The sequence below is a fragment of the Homo sapiens genome, chromosome 14, assembly GCF_000001405.40.
Source record: "Homo sapiens chromosome 14, GRCh38.p14 Primary Assembly".
Lineage (NCBI taxonomy): Eukaryota > Metazoa > Chordata > Mammalia > Primates > Hominidae > Homo > Homo sapiens.
The window spans coordinates 57,929,617-57,952,202 of NC_000014.9; the positions used below are offsets into that span (position 1 = coordinate 57,929,617).

Consider the following 22,586-nt stretch of genomic DNA (forward strand, 5'->3'; position numbering starts at 1 on the left):
ACTCTCACCAAACTTCCTTAACCACGGTCATTACCAGAACATCCAGAGTTTCTTGTAAGGTGAAAAACTGAATTATTGAAGACAGGAAAAGACATTGTATTATCTTCTTTCTCCAGAAGAAAGCCGCATGTTATAAAATGTCAGACAGCATGAAACAAAGATACACATCAAATGAATGAAAACTCCCCTCAGTCAGCATAGGGCTGAATAAGAGTGAATCTCCCAACACGCATCTAGACCCTGAGCTCTCACAGAAGCTTTGGGATGGGTGTCATCAACACCGACAGTCTGGGTGCTTTTTTTCCCTTCACAGAAACAAGAGTTCTTTTAGGAAGAACCCCTAGCAACCTACTTTTCTTAGACTTTTCAGAGAGAGCATGTTTCATAAAGGGATAGGGGAAGATTGGCCATATTTTTCACCTCTAAAAAAACTTCCTCTCCAAGATGGTGGTGTTAGCAAAACTCCCTGTGCAGAACATTCGCTTCTCAACTCTAATTATAGATCTGAAATTCAGGCAAAATGAAAACAAAGAGATTCTGGAGGAGCCACAAGAAAGTGTCACAAGTTAATTCAGTGTGATTTCCTTCCTTGCCTTCTTGTTCACAAGAGATCATTGAGCAAGAAGGAACTGCATCAGTTTCATACAGATTAACGTGGACAGACCCAGGCTAAGGAAAATTGTGAGGCAGAATTTATTCTTGGGGGATGCTTGGCATCTTCTGACTTCCTTGCATCCCTCTGGCAGCAACAACATTCCCTATTGCACAGTGTTCCATTAACCTCTTACCTCTCCCTGTGCCAGTTGCTCATTGTCTCTGACTCTGACCACCACCACGTGGAAACACCAGGCATCATCCAGATTTTTGATTCATCACTCACTTCTCTGCCCTATGAAAACTTCCTCATTGTCTCTCTCCCGCTCTAAGGTGCCGTAAGAGGGTAGCCAGCTTATTGGGAAAACCCAGATAAATGTTTGGGTTTTCCCAAACATTTCTTCTAAAATGTTTAGAACAAACATTTTAATGTTTAAGCTTCTAAGTTAAAACCTAGAAATAAGTCTGTATGTGTTGCCTCTCTCAGGGCATGTGTATATTAATAGACTGCAGGTGCATCATCTGCAGGAAACAAATTCCTGAGGATGGAATTTCAGATTTCAGAGGCAGGACAATGTGAGAAATATTTAGAGGTAGCTCTTGACTCATGCTTAAAAGGCAACCACCTAATCGTATAATTCCTCAAGACTAACACTGTGTGTCAAGACTTTGAAAAAGGAAGAGTAATAAACCCCAAATTGCACATCCTTCAGGAAAACCCTGAAGTGGCAATTAGGAAAAAAATAGGAAAAAAACTGGATGAGAAGTCAAGAAAATATTTGTGTGATGTTTCACTTTATGGGAAAATGAAGTATTAAAGTGTAGATAATATTAGAACTGAAAAAATCCCTTGAAATCAACTGTTTTCACCTCCCTCATTTTACAGAGGAAGACAATGAAGTCTAAAGACTCACTCAAGATTACACCATGAATCTGTGTCAGTACCAGATTTAGAATTCAGGTCTCTGTGACTCCCAGTCCAATGCCACTTCTAGTACACTTCATTAGTATCCAATTTCATGGATGGCCACTTGACACCTGTATCTGGTTAGATACCTAGAGGCTAGAAAAATAATTTTCCAGTGCCTTTATCCATACATCATACATCATCAACTTTGAATTTTGAATTGTTTACACTTCAATTCATCCCTTTCTATTTATAGAGTTAAAAGACAATCTCAAATCAATGTTGACAAAATTACCATCTGACAAAGACCAATCTAAAAGGAAAGACCCAGGGCTAGGTAGATTCTCTAAAATGCATGTGCAGATGTGATGGACACCTGGCTTGAGGATGTCAATTTGGAAACTATCCCATTAAAAATGAGAAACTATAGTGCAAATAATATGAAAATAAAATTAGTTCTTTCCACATAGCTGGGAGAAAAAAACAACCCACTGCATCAAACAGATTGATAACTCCCATCCTCCCCTTTGAACATTAGATCATGTCATCTTGCCTGGGAGAGCTCCAATTGCTGGAGATCTGTGGCTCCTCCAATCACTGGTTGCCAATTATCTCACAGCTGCTTCTCTTTCAAAGGAAACACCCAAAGCCCTGCTCTGTCCTTACATTAAATGAAGCACAAAGCACAATCCAATAGAGGGTCAAAAATGCCCTAAGGAAATAGTTCAAGCTTGGGATAACAAAGTCAGCATTAATATTCCCAGTCCCCCCATGTGGGCAAAACTCTTTAGATGAGATAGGAGAGCTGAACTATTGTCTGCAGTGTAGACTTAAAGCAATACAGGAATAGGATCAGCAAATCTACTTATTTACTCTTGACAATGGCCGGTGTCCTTGAAAGAAATCTCATTCATTCTCTGGTCCATCTCACTGCCTTGCTGACTTTGTTAGAAAATTCCTATATTTTATGGGGAATGTGTCCACCTTATAATACCTTCCCCCAGTTTCCCGTCATATAACTTGAAGACAAAAACTGTACCATCAGCTTGCTAGAGTTTAGTGAGGTTATTTGGAGTGGTTTTTGTTGTTATTTTAAGTAAAGCTTTCCACAGTTTTTATGATGAAAATATCTCAGTTTTGTTCTCTGATGGATTCTTCCATCTCTTTATCCCCTCTCAAAATATTGTAATTTCTGGATAAACCAACATAGACACCTGCTTCGAATCATAATCTATAGATAGTGTGACCAAATGTTCTAATTAGGCAACCTGATTTTTTCACAGTCATAGTTTTCACGTCTTTTCATATCCATGCATACAAATTTTTAGGTAGGATGACTATATGCTTTATCCAAACAAAGATACTTGTTAAGTGCCAGGAGGTGATATGAATCATTCACTGGGACAACAGACATAAACTGGAGGGGTTCTGGGTGAATTAGAAATTTGGGACCAGGTGTGGTGTCTCACACCTGTAATCCCAACACTTTGGGAGGCTGAGGCAGGTGGATCACTTGAGATCAGGAGTTCAAGACCAGCCAGGCCAACATGGTGAAATCCCATCTCTACTAAAAATACAAAAATTAGTTGAGCATGGTGGCAGGCTCCTGTAATCCCAGCTACTTGGGAGGCTGAGACAGGAAAATTGCTTGAATCCAGGGGGCAGAGGTTGCAGTGAGCCGAGGTCATACCACTGCACTCAAAAAAAAAATTTAGTCAAGCTATCTATAGATCTTGATTTGAAGCTGATCTCTCTGTGTGTATATTAGAGAGAAGCTTTGCTCTTCTGATGCAATACATATTCCTTCCTCTCTTTTCTCTGAAGATTTGAAAACTCCACTACCATGGGAAAATATCATTCCCCCATTTTCCTGCTGAAATCAACCTCGGAAGGTTAATAAGGGAAAGTTCTCTCCTATTTACTTTTTTTTTTTTTTTTTTAAGAGTCTTGCTCTGTTGCCCAAGCGCGACCTTGGCTCACTGTAGCCTCTGCCTCCCAGGTTCAACAAATTCTCCTGCCTCAGCCTCCCTAGTAGCTGGAATTATAGGCGTGTGACACCACACCTGGCTAATTTTTGTATTTTTTAGTAGAGATGGGGTTTCACCATATTGACCAGGCTGGTCTTGAGCTCCTGACCTCAGGTGATCTGCCCACCTCGGCCTTCCAAAGTGCTGGGATTACAGGCGTGAGCCACCACACCTGGCCTCTCCTATTTACTTTTAAGTACAGCAAGTTTGGTGTCTCATCCAAAGACTTCACAAACTGTTGGGTAGCTCGTGATTTACAACACAGTCCTCCTAAGCCCATACGCTATGTGATGACTAAAGCAAAGAGACCAAGTCACTACTTGGTCTCCTTGTTTAATCAGTGAGGGCCTCTGCCTCTTGGATACTGCTTCTTCTCTTATTGAAAATAAGAGGAAATAAGAGGACAAAGCTGATACCAGTCAGCTGAGTGGCTGAGTCAGCCAAGAAGGGGTTGGCAGAAGAATCCTTTCAGCTCTGGTGCCCTGCCATTTGTTTGTGAAAGGTCGCTGGCTGTCATCTCCTCATTGAAATCAATGCAGATGGTTTCACACAAATATTGACAAAATGAAATAGAACCAAATGGGAAGAAAAACCTTAAGGGATTTGAGGCATAAATAATCAATACTCTGTTAAAACCCTCCTTTTAAAATTGCATTAAGTGCAAAGAATAAAATGAATCAGGAAGAAACAGCACCAATTATCTTTCATTGAGTGCACCTGGAGCAAAAAAAAGTCTTGACACGAAAAAATATATATAATTAAAATACCTTAACAATTCGAGCAGGAAAGCTTTGTTTAAAGAAGGTGATATTTTGTCCTAGTTGCTAGGGGTTTGCCATCGGTCTTCATTTATATCAATTTTTATTTCTACAAATTCAAATCAAAGTCCAATTGCGTGAGTGACAAAAGGTCATGTCCTTTTTTCTGTCCATTTTTTAAAAAGTTTTAAAAGCAAAATATAAGGAGAGAAGCAGTTATTTTTAAAATTACTTCTTTTATAATACCCAACTAATCTTCACGGAAAATTCCAACATTTTTTGTTCTTATGGGAACAGTTGGTGATGTAGTGAAAAGAGCATGAGAGAGGTTCTGGTCCCTCTTTTGTCCCCCATTAACTAGGTTGTGGGGAGTGGGATGATGAGAATAGTGGAGAGTGGTTAATAAATTATGAAACATTAACCTCTCTGGGCTCAGCTTTCTCATCTGTAAAATAAGCAAGCATACTAGATGTCTTCGAGAATACCTCCGGAACATGAAGCTACACATTTCATAAAAAAGCAAGCAGTATGCATGTTATTTCTCACACATCAAAAGTCAGCCCATAGTCAGTAAAAGTCACCCTGTAGTTCATTGTCTCTGCATAGAGGGATTACTGGTTCTCTAAATTTGAAAGTTTAACCATCCAGGCTGACTTTTTTACAGCAAGTACATGGCAAGCAAGGCTTGGCCAGAAGTAAGTGGCCAGAAAGGCTGCATAGAGTCAGGCATTGTATGCACTTGCCTCCTGCTTGTACACAGCTATTAAATGGTTGTTGTCCCCTAATGAAGCCAGGTCCTCCATAAAGCCTCCCTCATGAGTAAACAACAAATAGCAGAGCTTTTTCTCTTAGCTGATGATATTTGTGATGTTAACTGAGAAACTGGGTGCAGAAAGTTTGAGCCTGATTATTAATCACCGATTTTTCTTCTCTGACTTCAAAGTAAGAAAAGACACAGAAGAATGAGGGAGGATCAGCATGTCAGCTTTATTACTGGTAAAGTAATGGAGAAGACAGCTTGGATCTGCAGCCACAAATGAGCTTTGAATACCTTTCCCTGTGCACTGAATTACCAACCCCAAACTTCAGAAACACAGTATTCCAGGTGAGCATACAGCAAGAAAGTGGCAGAAAGGGTGCATCTGAAAGAGAGAAGAAGCTGAGGCCCCAGATTCACACTCATTCCCTGATCTCACAACTTTGATAAGCCTCTCTTGGGGAGGAGTGAGTGAGGGTGGTAGAGGAAGAGAGAAGTTACCTTCCCATGATTTTTCCCTCTTGGAGTCAAATGTAAATTGACTTCTTGTAAATTCCCTGAGGATGTCTCTGTTTTGTTCACAGCTAAATCCCAAGTCTATAGATTTCAACAGATACCCACTAAAGAATGAATGAACAGAAACAGGAGAACTAGGGAATACAGTTTTCCCTAACAGTAAGAGGTTCTTTGAAATTATTTCTACAGCACAACTAGCTACCCATGGGTGTGTTGGTGCCTAAAAAGGGTAAGTAGTCAAGGCACCCAAGATACTCACAGGTCTTAGAGAGACTGTAGAGAGAAGCTCACTGGATTCCAAGGCATTAAAGTGGGTTCTTGTTCAGGATTAGGCAGAGGATGGCAAGTTACAAATCTTCTGAACTATAGTTTCATCATCTATAAAAATGGCCCCTTCTAATATTATTCTTTTTAGAGTCCAGATAACAAAGACTGAGAATAGGTGCTGGCAGAATAGCATATATTTCCTATCAGCTCTAAGGCCCAGATCCCCAAAAATTCAGATGTTGTTCTATTTGTTGTCATTGCCATTACTTTACCATACCCATATATCCTGTTTCTCCAGAGACATAAACCAACTGGACAAGTTCCTGTAAATTCACAATAATTGCTAATTTATTCCTATGTTACAAATGCTTTGCACTAGTTTGTGGAAGAAAAAAATTCCAATTTAAAATTAGGATCTTGTTTTTGAAAGTAATGGTATTAAAGTCAATTCTTAATATCAAAAATGAATTTGAAAGTAAGTTTGGATTAAATCAGCAGTATTTGTACTTGGAATAGACATTGGGAACTATGACAGCATCTTTGCAAAGATCTAAATATTATTAAATTTCAATTTTGTTCTTTACTGCTTCTCTGAATTACAGACACGCTGAATACAGACCTCAATTTAAGCCTTCTCATTTTTCTTTTTAAAATTTCATACAAAATAGATATTCTCCAAGGAATGCTCAGCATATGCATTTTACCTTCTCTCTTAGTAATTTCACATGCAAAAAGATGGACCATTTGCTAAGCTTGAAGAACATAATAATGAAACTACAAGTTAGAAGCAGGCATGGATCAGATGTATTTTACTTTCTAATGGCTGTTATAGCTATACAAAAAGGATAAGCCTACAGAGATGGTTTTTAAGGCTCATAGGGAATATAAACATATCGTGACAACCTCCAAGTCAATTTCTAAATAGGGTAGGAGCCATTCTGTGACTTTTGTGTCCCAGAAAATAACTCCCCTCAAAACATTCTGCAAAGACTGGCAGCGCCACTGGTTCAGATCTTCTTCCATTAAACTAGACCAGTGGTTCTCAACCAGATTTTGAGATTTTGAGTCTCTCTCCCCCCAGGGAACTTTTGACAATGTCTGAGACAGGTTTGGTTGTCGCAGCCAGGAGAGACATCTATGTGCTATTGGCATCTAGTGGGTAGAGGGAGGTAGGCTGCTAAACATCCTACAATGCAAAGGACAATCCCCTACAATAAAGAATTATCTATCCCAAAATGTCAATGCTTCCTTGGTTTGGAAAGTCTGCACTAGACTCAGTATTGGGAAGTCTTCTGGACTTGTGCTGTGGGATGACTAGGGGAGGAGTTGTAGGAGGGATAAGTATTCGGTTGAGCCTTAACAAAATGGGTAGGATTTGGGCCATGGAGGAGCATTCCAGGAGAGAATTTTAATGGACAAAAAGGGCTGTAAGCCAACACATGCATGGAATGTTGAGGGAAAAATGATCAAGCCAGCTTATCCAAAAGGAGAGTCCATATTGGTGTATGATGAAATACACAGCAGTAAAGCAAGATTTGGGAGAACTTTACACATGTTACATTTAAAAAATTGAGCTTTAGCCTTACATTTAGCAGCAGGAAATTAATAAATATTTTACCTGCTTTTTTTTTTTTTTCTTTTTGAGATAGAGTTTCACTCTTGTCACCCAGGCTGGAGTGCAATGGCGCTATCTCGGCTCACGGCAACCTCCGCTTCCCAGGTTCAAGCAATTCTCCTGCCTCAGTCTCCCGAGTAGCTGGGATTACAGGCATGCGCCACTACGCCCAGCTAATTTTTGTATTTTTACCAGAGACGGGGTTTCTCAATGTCGGTCAGGCTGGTCTCAAACTCCTGACCTCAGGTGATCCACCTGCCTCAGCCTCCCAAAGTGCCGGGATTACAGGCGCGAGCCACCGCACCTGGCCTTTACCCACTTTTGAAATGTAGCTGCCTTGATCTAGTCACAGTAGTCTCATTGTATATAGATTACTATAGAAAGTAAAATACAGACTACAGATGGAAAGTCAGGAGATAAAGAGGTCATAATAATAGGTTATCATAATAGAAATATAGGAGGCAAAATTACAATAATGATGGTCAGAAGGAAGGAAGGAAAGAAAAGAAAAGAAAAGAGAAAAGAAAAGAAAGAAAAGAAAAGAAAAGAAAAGAAAAGAAAAGAAAAGAAAAGAAAAGAAAAGAAAAGAAAAGAAAAAAGAAAAGAAAAAGATATCACAAAGGATAAAAGATCTGGCTATTTCTCAGAAAGTTTGCTGATGGTAAATGAAGGAACTTGGAGGTGGGAAGCTGGGACTCAAAGACCCAGGAACATACTGAAGGTGAACGTCTGGGCAGAAAGTGAGTCAAGGACCAGATTGATGATAAAGGCCAAAGAAGGGCACTGAATAAAAATTCAGAGTTATGCAGCATCAAGTCACATATTAACCAGGGGAACAGCAATAAGTTATTGTTTCCCCAACATCACATGCACATTTCTACTTCTGATCCTTTTCTCATGAGAATTCGCGCCTCTAATACTCTCCCCTCTGTCTCCACTCCCCAAGTAAGACCTATCTTTGAAGCCAGCTGAAAATGCGTCTTCCTTATCAATACTCTTTTTGTTATTGCACAGCAAGAATATAGAAGATTGCCCAATATTCAGTCTAGAATGGTTCAAAAAGATTTGAACCTAAGGAGACATGAATAATAGTTACAGTTTAGAGATATATCCTAGGACATAGGCAGACACAGGTCAGAAATCCAGTAGCCAAACAGCTCAACACCAAGAAAACCTAGACACCAAAGACAGGCAGCAAGGAGACTCTCAAGCAGACAGAGGAAAAAACAAAGGGGTAATATAAGAAGTAGTGTTCAGTCACAAAGGGGAAGAAAAATGTTAAGAGGAGTATGATCAACAGTCCAGTGTAATTGAGTGTCCTGGTTAAGAACGGGAGGTTCAGGGAGTCAGACAGACCAGGCTTGAATCCTGGCCCATTGTTTTCAGATCATCAGCACTTCGTTAACTTTCCTGGGTTGTTTGCTGAGCTATAAAATGGAGAGAACTATATCCACCTCACAGGATTAATGTCATTAAATATCACAGAATTATTGTCACATAAATGCAAAAGAAAAAATGTTAAGGTGTTTTTCTCTTTTGTCTTTGATTACATGGCATTTGTCTCAGTCCCCTGCTTCACAAACTTTAATGTTCACACTTAACACATGAAGATTTTGCTGAAATGCAGATTCTGATTCAGTAGGACTGGGTGGAGCCTGGGACTCTAAACTCCTGACAGGTTCTGTGGCTGCGGCTACTGCTATGTAAACCATGCTTTTAGCCGCAAGACCCTAGTGTGTCCAAGGCATTCGACTGATTGGGACATGCTACCGATTGGGGTTTGTGACAGAAGGGCTGCAAAAAAAGATTGAGATATATTCAGCTTCTGACATTCAAAACTAGGATTTTTGGAATAAGACTGTAGACATGTAAGCAGGTTCAGCAGCTAGACCCTAATGTTTAACGTAAATTATGTCCAGATTTGAAGAGGAAGGGGAAAGTCAATTTCTTTCCTCCCCTGGAGGATTTTGGGAAGAGGATATCAGAGGTAGCTGAGCAAAGTGGGGAAATGCATGCTTCAGTGCTGGTATCTTTCCCCCCGAGAGGGAGAGGTGCACCAGATAAGTAAGGGTAATACTGAGGAAAAGATTTTGCTTTCCCAAGCTGCCCTGGGTTTCTGTGTTGGTTTGGTAAGGTTCCACAATAGCTGAGATTCTGGCGTGGAAGGGATTCAGGGAGGATCTTCATAACAGTAGTGAAGGGCTCCAAAGCAAACATCCTGGGGCTGAGGCCAAATAAGGGTCACAGCTAGACCTCAAAGCAGTCCCTAGATCAGCTGTAGAGAAGTGAAGCTAAGTCAACCAAGGAGCATGACCACAGCCTGCCAGAGCAAAAGAGAAGAGCCACCAACTGTAGCCATCAATGTCAGCAGAGCAAGCAGCACCCCAGTGCACGAGGGGCATTGGCCTGGAGACCAGAAGAAGAAAGGACATCACCACTAAGGACCATGGGTCTTCCATGTTGCCCTAAGATCATGTAAAGCCACCCTCTCCCTGCATATCCCTAAACAACATTTTAGAAAAGAAATCTCAGAGCGAGGAAGGGTAGAAGGCTATCTGAGAAGCTGAGCATTTCTATCCAATAGCGACTCAATACTATCTATGGGAGCCATTTAATTAATGGAGTTGGAATAATGTGGAATTGAATTGGACAGTTAAATCATTTTCCCCAATGGGCTGGGAGTTGGGTAGAAGGCCAGAAGTCTTACAGACAAAATAAAGATATTACATTTTTCTCTAAACATCCAAGTTATAGAGTAAGTTACATTTGCAACCACAATATATATAAATATTTTTTTACATTCGCACTGCAAATATAAAGTGCTTAGCAATGTGCTTCCTGTATAGAAAGTGATGGGTAAATGGTAGCTGGGTTAAACAGGTTAAGTAAGGACTAAGAGAAGGCCACTGGATTCTGCAGTTAGGAAGATATCATTCCCTTTTTGGAGAACAGTTTCAGTAGAATGATGGGGATGGAAACTAGCTACAGAATGTGTTCAGCCTAAGTGTGAAAGCCATTATACTCCAACATCCTCCAGTGCTCAGCAAGGCTCTCATTTTCTGTAGAGTTAGGAAAGGGTGTGAATAGAATAGAAGATGAAGTCTACAGACACCCCAGGGTCAGGGCTCAGTATTGTCATCCATTGAATTGAAGTATCCCTTAAGGGAGTTTAAATTCTATTTTTGGAAATTGACTCCAAAGCAATTCTCTTGATGAGAATGGGTTTTTTGCTAAGTGTGAGATGGTAGATAAATACAAAAAAAAGTATGCATTCCAAAGCTGTAGCCATGAATTTTTCATTTAAAAACAATCCTAAAAAATAGTTCATTCTGTACACCCTAAAATTGTTTTTTTTTAAGTTGAAGCTTTCATCACCTCACAGTCTAGATGGGACCCTTGATTTTCTCAAAGCACTTTTGCCTCTCTTATCTTAGATAAAATTAGCTGTTCACTAATGCTACCAGGCATAGAGGTCCCCTAATGACCAGTGTATGGTTATGCTGCTGCTCTCTGAGCAGCACAAATCATTCATTCAGCAGTGGAGTAGTCACTTTTTGAGATACTATGAGATAAGGCGGCAGCCTAATTTTGCCATCATTCAATTTTACCTGTACGCACAGCCCACCTGGTTGCCCAGGTGTCTCATCCAACTCCTCCTCTTCTTCCATCACAAGCAATGCTCCCAGAACTGCCCTTGCATCTGTTCTCCCCCACTACTCCTCTTCTCCTCCTCCTCCTTCTTCTCCCCCTATCAAAATGTGCTAGTTCTATGTTCCATGATCTCAGGCCCCACTCCCTCCCAGGTTCAAAGGCAGTAATGCTTTCAGATGACCTGACATCATCACTCATAGGTATCTTAGTTGCCTTGTAAAAATACTTAGTGTCACGTGAAAAGATGCTCAACATCATTAGTCATTAGGGAAAACGAATCCACTCATACCTATTAGGATGGCTGTAATCCAAAATGTGGAAAATAACAAGAAAAATTAGTGTTGGCAAGAATGTGGAGAACTTGGAACCCTTGTACATTACTGGTGGGGATGTATAATAATGCAATCTCTGTGGAAAATAGTTGGTTCCTGAAAAAGTTACACATAGAATTATCACATGACTCACAATTTACTCTTAGATACACACACAAAAGAATTGAAAACAGGAACTCAAACAAATACCTGTACACAAATATTCACAGAAGTATTATTCACAATAGCCAAAGATGGAAAAATCCAAATGTCCATTAATGGATAAATGGCTAAATTATGGCATGTAAATATAATAGGATATTATTCAACAATAAAAAGGAATGAAGTACTGATACATGCTGTAACAATATGGATGAACCTTGAAAACATTGTCCTAAGTCAAAGAAGCCAGATGCAAAAGTCACATAGTGTAGGATTCCATTTATATGAAATTTTGAGAATAGGTAAATACATAGATGCAGAAAATAGATTAGAGGTTGTTTAGGGCTGAGGGAAGGAAAGGATGGAGAGTAAATGCTTAATGGGCATGGGGTTTTATTTTGGGATAATAAAAATATTTTGGAACAAAGTAGAGGTAGTAGTTGTTCAATATCATGTATGTACTAAATGCCACTGAATTGTTCACTTTAAAGTGATTAATTTTATGTTAGGCTAATTTCAGCTCAATTTAAAAAAAAAAGCTTATGACCATTAAAAAGTAACCAAAAGTGAGAATACATGACCTATAAACATTTTGAGAGCAGGAGTTGTAACTCATGAAATTTTTATTCCCTATAGAGACTAGCAAAATGCCTGATATACAGGTACTTAACAAATACCTGTAGAATGAATGAATGGGTGAATGAGTCTCCAGTACTGTTTAAGGCATTTTGTGGCTGGCAGACACAAGGCAGCTGCCAGGTCTGCATCTTATCAAGTGATGACTTCACCTAGGAGTGGCAAAGCATCTGTGGGCTGCAAAGTCTTTTCCTTTGTCCCATTACTTTGAGATTTAGTAAGGTGTCTGTGCCATTCTTTTTCTCCACTTAAAATTGCACATTTTGCAATCCTGGTTAGAGAGATGCCACTGACTGAAATATTCTGCCTCAAGAGTGAATAACGTCAGAACCTCATTATTGACATTTTCCTTGCCGCAAAGCTTTCATCTTCTTACAGAGAATGTTCCAGCTTAATGTTGAGCCCCTTAAAATACAGGGTTGTAACTTATTGCAAGGGAGAAATAACTCTGTTGTAGACCAGGTGAATAAATCATTCAAACAAAAAAACACAGGTGAAATTCCTAAAATAAGTTGACTCTTATACCTAGGCCCTGATTCTAGGCTGAATTCATTTTGTAACCCATCCAGTATCTCAAGTTCTAAAATCTCTTTCATAACATTCTTGCTTTCTTTATTGCCCATCCTAACTGTAGGTGAGATAACTTCAGATGACTTTTTTTGAGTTTTAAATATTTTATAATAATTGTGAGCATCTTCCCCAAGCCAAATATGGAATGAAGACTGGATTCTGTGGAGTTTTTGTCTTTTGTTTCAGTGACGTAGCATTTTCGGAATTTCAATACAAGTTTATCAATACCAACTAATACAACTGTTGCCCAAAGCCCAATATGCTATGGAGGGAGAGTTTTAACAGGAAATATACTTAAAACTTAACTGTAACAGTATTCTTGGAAGCCACGACTTATACTGCCTAAAAGATCTTTGTCTTTCATAATATGATGTCCAGATCTACCCTGGTGATTGCTCTCACAATGAAAATGTAGGTAGGGTTTTGTCATTTACCAAGCAATTTCATATATCTTTTCTAATCTGACCTTTCCAACTGCCAGTGAGACGGTTGGGGTAATTAGTGTTATCTCTATTTTTAAAATTCAGAAACTGAGATTTAAAAGCTTTAGGGATTGGTTCAAGGTCACATACTTAGTAAAAGCACAGACTAGGCTTGAATCTAGTTTTTTTAAAAGCCAGAACTCCAGCCTCTCATTCTTACACCAATGCTTCCAATCTCTTTGTTCCTCATAACACTATGTGAGCCCCATTCCCTAGAAACATCAGGAAACCACCAAAATAACTGGAGAGTTTTGCTGAAGAGATCTGGGCCGTATTACTGTATTGCTTTTTCCCTTGCAGGGAGAGTTACTATGACCTCAGTTCCTGGTGCAGCCCCCAGTGGTTTTTGCACAGAATTGGCAAGATTAAAGACACCATGGGACACAGCTAAGTTTCTCTTTCAAGTTATCCACCTGTTGTCTATACAGCTGCTGTTTACTGACGGCTCAGCAAAGAGCAGTGGGATTCTTATCCTATTTTTATGGTGATTTCTAACTTCTTGCTATTCCCTGGTCTAATTTCTATTAAGTACATTTCTCCCATGCACAAATGTCTACGCTTTCCAAAAAGAGAGAAACTTTATATCATTTGTTGTGATATCTGTGATTTTTCTAGTTCATATATTTCCTTTCTCTCATATAGTTAATAGTCTCACCGCATGGTGCCTTAGCAAAGTACAACGCACACGCCAGTGAGTTTTCTGCTCTTGGTTACTGCCGAGTGTCATGATGTAACGGGACTCTTCACCAATCTGCGACTTCCCACCGCCTCCACACAACCCAGAGGTAGACTTCCCCAGCCCCGATGTCTGCACGGATCATGGATGGGCCCAGCTGAACTTCTTCTGTAATACTATTCGATTCAGTTAACCGCCAGTGCTGGTTCTAATTCTAAATCTTGAGAAAGTGCCAAGTTTGGTGAAGAAAATATCCCCAGTGGTCCCTCCTCGCAGGAAGTCACTCTGCATCATCTCTGTACTTTCTTCTTTCTTGGACTTCCTTCCCTGCTGGGAGTGAATTGGCAGGGCTGAAGACTGAACAGTTTCATTAACACCTGCTTTGTTTCTGCTTTTCTGGACCACGCCAATGGGAGAGATGACAGGCAGCTATTGCACCTCTCTGGGTCCAGCCAGTGGCCTCAGTGCATTCTCTTTTATTCACAACTCAACCCCCTCCCCAAATGAACCCAGTCATTGTCCTCCACACGAGCTCCACACCAATTTCTGTCACATTCTTGTGATTGCAGGAAAAGTCAACACTGTTCAGCCTCCCTTTCTGATTTTTCCGAAGTCATTCCAGTATCGTCAAGTACCAGGCTGACCAAAAGAGGGTCTTCTATTCCTACTTATCCAATTCATTTTATTTTCACCAAGAAAACAAACACAAATATTCCCTGATATCTATAATGACAAACAAATCCTCTTATAAGTGACCTTTCGCATACAAATGTGTTAACCCGATAACTCCTCCTACATTGAAAACAATAGCTTTTTCTCCTGAATAGTCCTATCAAGCACTCCCTCACCTGATGAATATGCTTTTACAGAGTTCTTGTTTCCTAACAAAAAAGAGCATTTACCGCTTTCCCACCCTCACTGTTTACATTTCCCTCATCCCTCTCCTCTATATCAGGGCTGCCTGTCTTCCCATCTCATATTTATTATTAACTCCTCAAAATTGTGCTTTGTGAGACCTTCAGGTATGAAAGTTGTCAAAATCAAAATGAAGTCCCTGTGAGAAAGAAAGAAGAAAAGAAAATAAAGAAAAAAGAAAAGAGGCAGGAAGGGAGGGAGAGAGAGAAAGAAAGAAAAAGAAAAGAAAGAAAGAAAAGAAAGAAAGAAAGAAAGAAAGAAAGAAAGAAAGAAAGAAAGAAAGAAAGAAAGAAGAAAGGAAGAAAGAAAAGAAAAGAAAAAAGAAAAGAAGAAAGAAAAAAGAAAAGAAAACCTGACAGAGCCAGGAAGGCCATGAGGAGACAAGTTCTCCCACATAAATGCCTGATAATCACAAAAGGCTGCAAAAACCAGTCTTGCACAAAGGCTGTACAACCTTACACACACAAAAAATACTCCTGTAAGGACATCTGCCCAGCATCTGCCTGCCCAACCTTGGGCTGGTGTCGCTCTTGTTATTGACAAAGATAAGTATCTCAAAATAATTATGTAATCGTCCTCATTTTTCCTTTAAAAACCTTGGTCTTCCTTTGCATCCAAGAATATGTACATAGTTTACTATGGCATGCATATTCCCATTGCAAAGCCCTATTCCCAAATAAATACCATTTTCTTTTAAAGAGCCTCTCTGTTTGTTATTTAGGTTGACACATGACATACTACCCTGTTAAGGTGGCTGTTTGCTGAAAGCCATGCATCCACAAACAGACAATGGATTTGTGAATTACCAAAGAGGCCAGAGCCCAGATCCCAGAACCCTGAAAGCTACTATTTCTGACTTGAGCTAAGCAGAAAAAGAAGCTGCTGCCTAAGCGGAAATGAATTCCCCCTGCAATACAAAAGAATGATTAAGAGGCAGCTGCTATTATCATTGCTCTTTACCAGGTAAGAGCAATGATAATGTGTGTGTGTGTGTGTGTGTGTGTGTGTGTGTGTGTGTGTGTGTGTGTGTGTATCACATTTTCTTTATCCACTCATTGTTTGATGGGCATTTAGGCTGGTTCCATATTTTTGCAGTTGCAAATTGTGCTGCCCTATAAACATGCATGTGCAAGTGTCCTTTTCATGTAATGACTTCTTTTCCCCTGGGTAGATACCCAGTAGTGGGATTGCTGGATCAAATGGTAGTTCTACTTTTAGTTCTTTAAGGAATCTTCACACTGTTTTCCACAGTGGTTTTACTAGTTTACATTCCCATCAACAGTGTAAAAGTGTTCTCTTTTCACCACCTGCATGCCAACATCTATTATTTTTTTATTTTTTGATTATGACCATTCTTGCAAGAGTAAGGTGGAATCGCATTGTGGTTTTCATTTGCATTTACCTGATGATTAGTGATGTTGAGTATTTTTTCATATGTCTGTTGGCCATTTGTATATTTTCTCTTGAGAATTGTCTATTCATGTCCTTTCCCTACTTTTTGATGGGATTATTTGTTTTCTTTCTCGATGATTTGTTTGAGTGCCTTGTAGACTCTGGATATTAGTCCTTTGTTGGACGCATAGTTTGCAAATAATTTCTCCCATTCTGTGGGTTCTCTGTTTACTCTTATGCTTATTTCTCTTTCTGTACAGAAGCTTTTTAGTTTAATAAGGTTCCATCTATTTATTTTTGCTTTTGTTGCATTTGCTTTTGGTTTCTTGGTCTTGAAATATTTGCCTAAGCCAATGTCTAAAAGAGTTTTTTCCAATGTTATCTTCTAGAATTTTCATGGTTTCAGGTCTTAGATGTATGCCTTTGATCCATCTTGAGTTGATTTTTACACAAGGTGAGAGATGGGGATCCAGTTTCATTCTTCTACATGTGGCTGGCCAATTATCCCAGCACTTTTTGTTAATTGGGTGTCCTTTCTCCACTTTATGTTTTTGTTTGCTTTGTCGAAGATCAGTTGGCTGTAAGTATTTGTCTTTGTTTTGTTTTGTTTTCTTTTCTTTTTTTTTTTTTTTTTTTTTTTGAGACCGAGTCTCACTCTGTCACCCAGGTTGGAGTGCAGTGGCACGATCTCCACTCACTGCAACCTCTGCCTCTCAGGCTCAAATTATTCTCCTGGCTCAGCCTCCCAAGTAGCTGGGATTACAGGCATGTGCCACCATGCCTGGCTAATTTTTTGTATTTTTAGTAGAGATAGGGTTTCACCATGTTGGCCAGGCTGGTCTCCAACTCCTGGCCTCAAGTGATCTACCTGCCTTGGCCTCTCACAGTGCTGGGATTACAGGCATGAGCCACCACGTTGGCCATATTTGGCTTTATTTCTGGGTTCTCTGTTCAATCCCATTTGTCTATATGCCTATTTTTATACCAGTACCAGGCTGTTTTGCTAACTATAGCCTTGTAGTATAGTTTGAAGTTGGATAATGTGATGTGTCCAGATTTGGGTTTGTTTTTGTTTTTGTTTTTTGCTTAGCCTTGCTTTGGCTATGTGGGCTCCTTTTTGGTTCCATGTGAATTTTAGAGTTGTTTTTTTCTAGTTCTGTGAAGAATGATATTGGTATTTTGTTCAGAATTGCACTGAATCTATAGATTGCTTTTGACAGTATAGTTATTTTCACGATATTGATTCTACCTATCTGTAAGCATGGGATATGTTTCCATTTGTTTGTATCATTTATGATTTCTTTCAGCAGTGTTTTGTAGTTTTCCTTGTAGAGATCTTTCATCTCCTTGGTTAGGTATATTCGTAAGTTTTTTGTTGGTGCTGGTGGTGGGTTTTTTGTTTTTTTTTTTTTGGTTTGTTTGTTTGTTTGTTGGGAGCTGTTGTAAAAGGGATTGAGTTCCTGATTTGATTCTCAGGTTGGTCACTGTTAGTGTATAGCAGTGCTACTGATTTGTGTATATTGATTTTGTGTCCTGAAACTTTACTGAATTCATTTATCAGATATAGGAGCTTTTTGGATGAGTCTTTGGGGTCTTCTAGGTAAACAACCATATCATCAGTGAACAGCAACAGTTTGACTTCCTTTTTACCAATTTGGATGCCCTTTCTTTCTCTTGTCTGATTACTCTGGCTAGGACTTCTAGTACTATGTTACACTGAAGTGGCAAAAGTGGGCATCTTTGACTTGTTCCAGTTCTTGGGGGAATGCCTTCAACATTTCCTCATTCGGTGTTATGTTGGCTGTGGATTTGTCATAGATGGCTTTTATTACCTTGATATATGTCCCATCTACACCAATTTTGCTGAGGGTTTTTAATCATAAAGGGATGTTGGATTTTATCAAATGCTTTTCCTGCTTCTATTGAGATGATCATATGATTTTTGTTTTTAGCTCTGTTTATGTGGTATTTCACATTTATTGACTTTCATATGTTAAGCTATCCTGCATCCCTGGTATAAAACCCACTTGATCATGATGTATTATCTTTTTGATATGCTGTTGGATTTGGTTAGCTAGTATTTTGTTGAGAACTTTTGCATCTATGTTCATCAGAGGTATTGGTCTATAGTTTTCTTTTTTTGTATATCCTTCCCTGATTTTGGCATTAGGGCGATACTGGCTTTATGGAATGATTTGAGATGATTTAAGAAGGATTCCTTCTTTCTTTATCTTTTGGAATAGTTTCAGCAGGATTGGCGTAAATTCTTCTTTGAATGTCTGATAAAATTCAACTGTGAATCCATCTGGTCCTGGACTTTTTTCTGTTGGCAATTTTTTTATTACTGTTTCAATCTTGCTACTTATTGGTCTGTCCCGTGTTTCTATTTCTTCCTGATTTAATCTAGAAGGATTGTATATTTCCAGGAATTTTTCCATCTCTTCTAGATTTTTTAGTTTATGTGTGTAAAGTTATTCATAGTAGCCTTGAATAATCTTTTGTATTTCTGTGGTATCAGCTGTAATATCTCCTGTTTCATTTCTAATTGAGCTTATTTGGATCATCTCTCTTCTTTCCTTGGTTAATCTCACTAACGGTCTATCAATTTTGTTTATCTTTCCAAATAACCAGATTTTTGTTTTATTTATCTTTTGTATTGTATTTTTTGTTTCAATTTTATTTAGTTCTGCTCTAATCTTTGTTATTTCTTTTCTTCTGCTGATTTTGGGTTTGATTTGTTCTTGTTTATCTAGTTCCTTGAGGTGTGACCTTAGATTGTCTATTTTTGCTCTGTCAGACTTTTTGATGTAGGCCTTTAATGCTATAAACTTTCCTCTTAGAACCACTTTTGCTGTATCCGAGAGGTTTTGATAAGTTGTGACACTATTATCATTCGGTTCAAATAATGTTTTAATTTCCATGTTGATTTCATTGTTGACCCAAATATCATTCAAGAGCAAATTATTTAATTTCCATGTATTTGTATAGTTTTAAAAGTCCCTTTTGAAGTTAATTTCTAGTTTTATTACACTGTGGTCTGAGAGAATACTCGATATGATTTCAATTTTCTTAAATTTTTTGAGACTTGTTTTGTGGCCTATCATATGGTCTATCTTGGAGAATGTTCTATGTGCTGATGAAAAGAATGTATATTCTGAAGTTACAGATGTTCTGTAAACATGTTAAGTCCATTTTTTCCAGGGTATAGTTTATATCCATTGTTTCTTTGTTGACTTTCTGTCTTGATTATCTGTCTAGTGCTGTCAATGAGATATTGAAATCCCCTACTATTATTGTGTTACCATCTATCTCATTTCTTAGGTTTAGTAGTCATTGTTTTATGAATTTAGTAGCTTCAGTGTTAGGTGCATATATATTCAGGATTGTAACATTTTCCTGTTGGACTAATCCTTTTGTCTTTATATAATGTTCCTCTTTGTCTTTATTTACTGTTGTTGCTTTAAAGTCTGTTTTGTCTGACATAAGAATAGCTAATCCTGCTCACTTTTGGTGGCTGTTTGCATGGAATATCTCTCTCCACCCCTTTACCTTAAGTTTATGGGAGTTCATATTCATTAGGTGAGTCTGTTGAAGACAGCAGATACTTGGTTGGTGAATTTTTATCCATTCTGCCATTCTGTATCTTTCAAGTGAAGCATTTAAGCCATTTGCAATGTCAATATTGAGATGTGAGGTACTGTTCTATTCATCATGCTAGTTGTTGCCTAAATACCATGTTTTTTTCATTGTGTTATTGTTTTATAGGTTCTGTGAGATTTAAGCTTTAAGAAGGTTCTATTTTGGTGTACTCTGAGGTTTTCTTTGAGATTTGGAACTTCTTTTAGCATTTCTTGTAGTGCTAGTTCTCTAGTGGTGAATTCTCTTAGCATTTGTTTGTCTGAAAAAAACTTTTATCTCTCCTTCATTTATGAAACTTAGTTTTGCTGAATACAAAATTCTAGGCTGACAATTATTTTGTTTAAGGAGGCTACAAATAGGACTCCAATCCCTTCTGGCTTAAAAGGTTTCTGCTGAGAAACCAGCTGTTAGTCTGATAGGTTTTCCTTTATAGGTTGTCTGATGCTTTTGTTTCACAGGTCTTAAGATTCTTTCCTTTGTCTTGACTTTACATATCCTGATGACTATGTGCCTAGGTGATGATCTTCTTGCAATGAATTTCCCAACAGTTCTTTGAGCTTCTTGTATTTTAACATCTAGCTCTCCAGCAAGGCCAGGGAAGTTCTCCTCAATTATTCCCTCAAATATGTTTTTCAAACTTTTAGATTTCTCGTCTTCCTCAGGAACACCAATTATTCTTATGCTTGGTCATTTAACATAATCCCAAATTTCTTGGAAGCTTTGTTCAATTTTTTTTATTCTTTTTTTTTCTCTTTGTCTGATTGGGTTAATTTGAAAGCCTTGTCTTCAAGCTCTGAAGTTCTTTCTTCTACTTGTTCTAGTCTCTACTGAAAGTTTCCACTGCATTTTGTATTTCTTTACGTGTGTCTTTCATTTCCAGAAGCTGTGATTGTATTTTATTTATGATATCTATTTCTCTAGAGAATTTTAAGTCCATATCCTGTATTTTTTTTAATTTCTTGAAGTTAGTTTCTACCTTTCTCTGGTATCTCCTTGAGTAGCTTAATAATCAACCTTCTGAAATTTTTCTCTGGCAATTCAGATTTCTTCTTGGCTTGGAGCCATTTCTGGGGAGCTAGGGTGATTGTTGGGGATGTTATAGGACTCTGTTTTGTCATATTACCAAAATTACTTTTCCAGCCCATTGTCATTTGCATAGACTCTTTGTTTCTTTTCTTTCTTTCTTTTTTTTTTTTGAGACAGAGTCTTACTGTGTTGCCCAGCTGGAGTGCAGTGGCACAATCTCAGCTCATTTTCACCTCTCCCACCCAGGTTAAAGCAATTCTCCTCCCTCAGCCTCCTGAATAGCTGGGACTACAGGTGCCTGCCACCACGCCAGGCTAATTTGTAGTTTTAGTAGAGATGGGGTTTCGCCATCTTGCCAAGGCTGGTCTTGAACTCCTGACCTCATGATCCACCCACCTTGGCCTACCAAAGTCCTGGGATTACAGGCACGAGCCACCACGCCCGGCCTGGATAGACTGTTTCTTAAAATTGTTCTTGAATTTGGGGTGGCTGGCAAGATGGCCAATTGGGAACACCTCTAGTCTGCAGCTCCCAGAGAGATCAACCCAGAAGGAGGGTGATTTCTGCATTTCCAACTGAGGCACCTGGCTCATCTCATTGGGACTGGTTAGACAATGGGTATAGCCCATGTAAGGCAAGCCAAAGCAGAGTGGGGCAAGCAAGAGATCAGGGACCTCCCTCCCCTAGCCAAGGGAAGCCATGAGGGACTGTGCTGTGAGGAATGGTTCATTACAGCCCAGATACTACACTTTTCCCATGGTCTTCACAACCTGCAGACCAGGAGATTCCCTTGGGTGCCTACACCACCAGGGCCCTACGTTTCAAGCACAAAACTGGGTGGCTGTTTGGGCAGACACCGAGCTAGCTGGAGTTTTTTTTCATACCCCAGTGGTGCCTGAAATGCCAGCGAGACAGAACCATTCAATCCCCTGGAAAAGGGGGCTGAAGCCAGGGAGCCAAGTGGTCTAGCTGAGTGGATCCAAGCCCCACAGAGCCCAGCAAGCTAAGATCCACTGGCTTGAAATTCTCGCTACCAGCACAATAGCCTGGAGTCGACCTGGTACATTTGAGCTTGGTGTGGGGAGGGGCATCTTCCATTACTGAGGCTTGAATAGGCGGTTTTCCCCTCACAGTGTAAACAAAGCCTCAGGGAAGTTCAGACTGGGCAGAGCCCACCACAGCTCAACAAAGCTGCTATAGCCAAACTGCCTCTCTAGATTTCTCCTTTCTCGGCAGGGCATCTCTAAAAGAAAGGCAGCAGCCCCACTCAGGGGCCTATAGATAAAACTCCCATCTCCCTGGGACAGAGCACCAGAGGGAAGAGGCGGCTATGGGCACAGCTTCAGCAGACTTAGATGTTTCTGCCTGCCAGCTCTGAAGAGAGCAGCAGATCTCCCAGCACAGCACTCATGCTCTGCTAAGGGACAGACTGCCTCCTCAAGTGTGTCCCTGATCCTCGTGCCTCCTGATTGGGAAACACCTCCCAGCAGGGGTCGACAGATACCTCATACAGGAGAGCTATGACTGTTATCTGATGGGTGCCCCTCTGGGATGAAGCTTCCAAAGGAAGGAACAGGCAGCAATCTTTGCTGTTTTGCAGCCTTCGCTGGTGATACCCAGGCAGACAGGGTCTGGAGTGGACCTCCAGCAAACTCGAGCAGACCTGCAGCAGAGGGGCCTGGCTG

At 39.6% G+C, this 22,586-nt stretch overlaps 1 protein-coding gene across 1 annotated transcript in view, besides 2 other annotated features; it reads right to left on the bottom strand.

Moving 5' to 3' along the window:
- SLC35F4 (solute carrier family 35 member F4) overlaps positions 1 to 22,586 on the bottom strand; it is a 419,262-nt gene that overhangs the window by 365,697 nt on the left and 30,979 nt on the right. The window lies entirely within an intron of this gene.
- Positions 14,116 to 14,285: an enhancer, noted in NCBI's record as "experimental_34518 CRE fragment used in MPRA reporter constructs". NCBI's record gives its function as "activates a minimal promoter by MPRAs in K562 erythroleukemia cells, with activity observed for both the introgressed and non-introgressed 14:58410535 variant alleles {active_cell/tissue: K562}" and the evidence as "EXISTENCE:reporter gene assay evidence [ECO:0000049][PMID:34662402]".
- Positions 21,845 to 22,345: an enhancer, noted in NCBI's record as "H3K27ac hESC enhancer chr14:58418179-58418679 (GRCh37/hg19 assembly coordinates)". NCBI's record gives its function as "activates a minimal SCP1, AML or CMV promoter by ChIP-STARR-seq in naive H9 embryonic stem cells {active_cell/tissue: H9 hESC(naive)}" and the evidence as "EXISTENCE:reporter gene assay evidence [ECO:0000049][PMID:30033119]".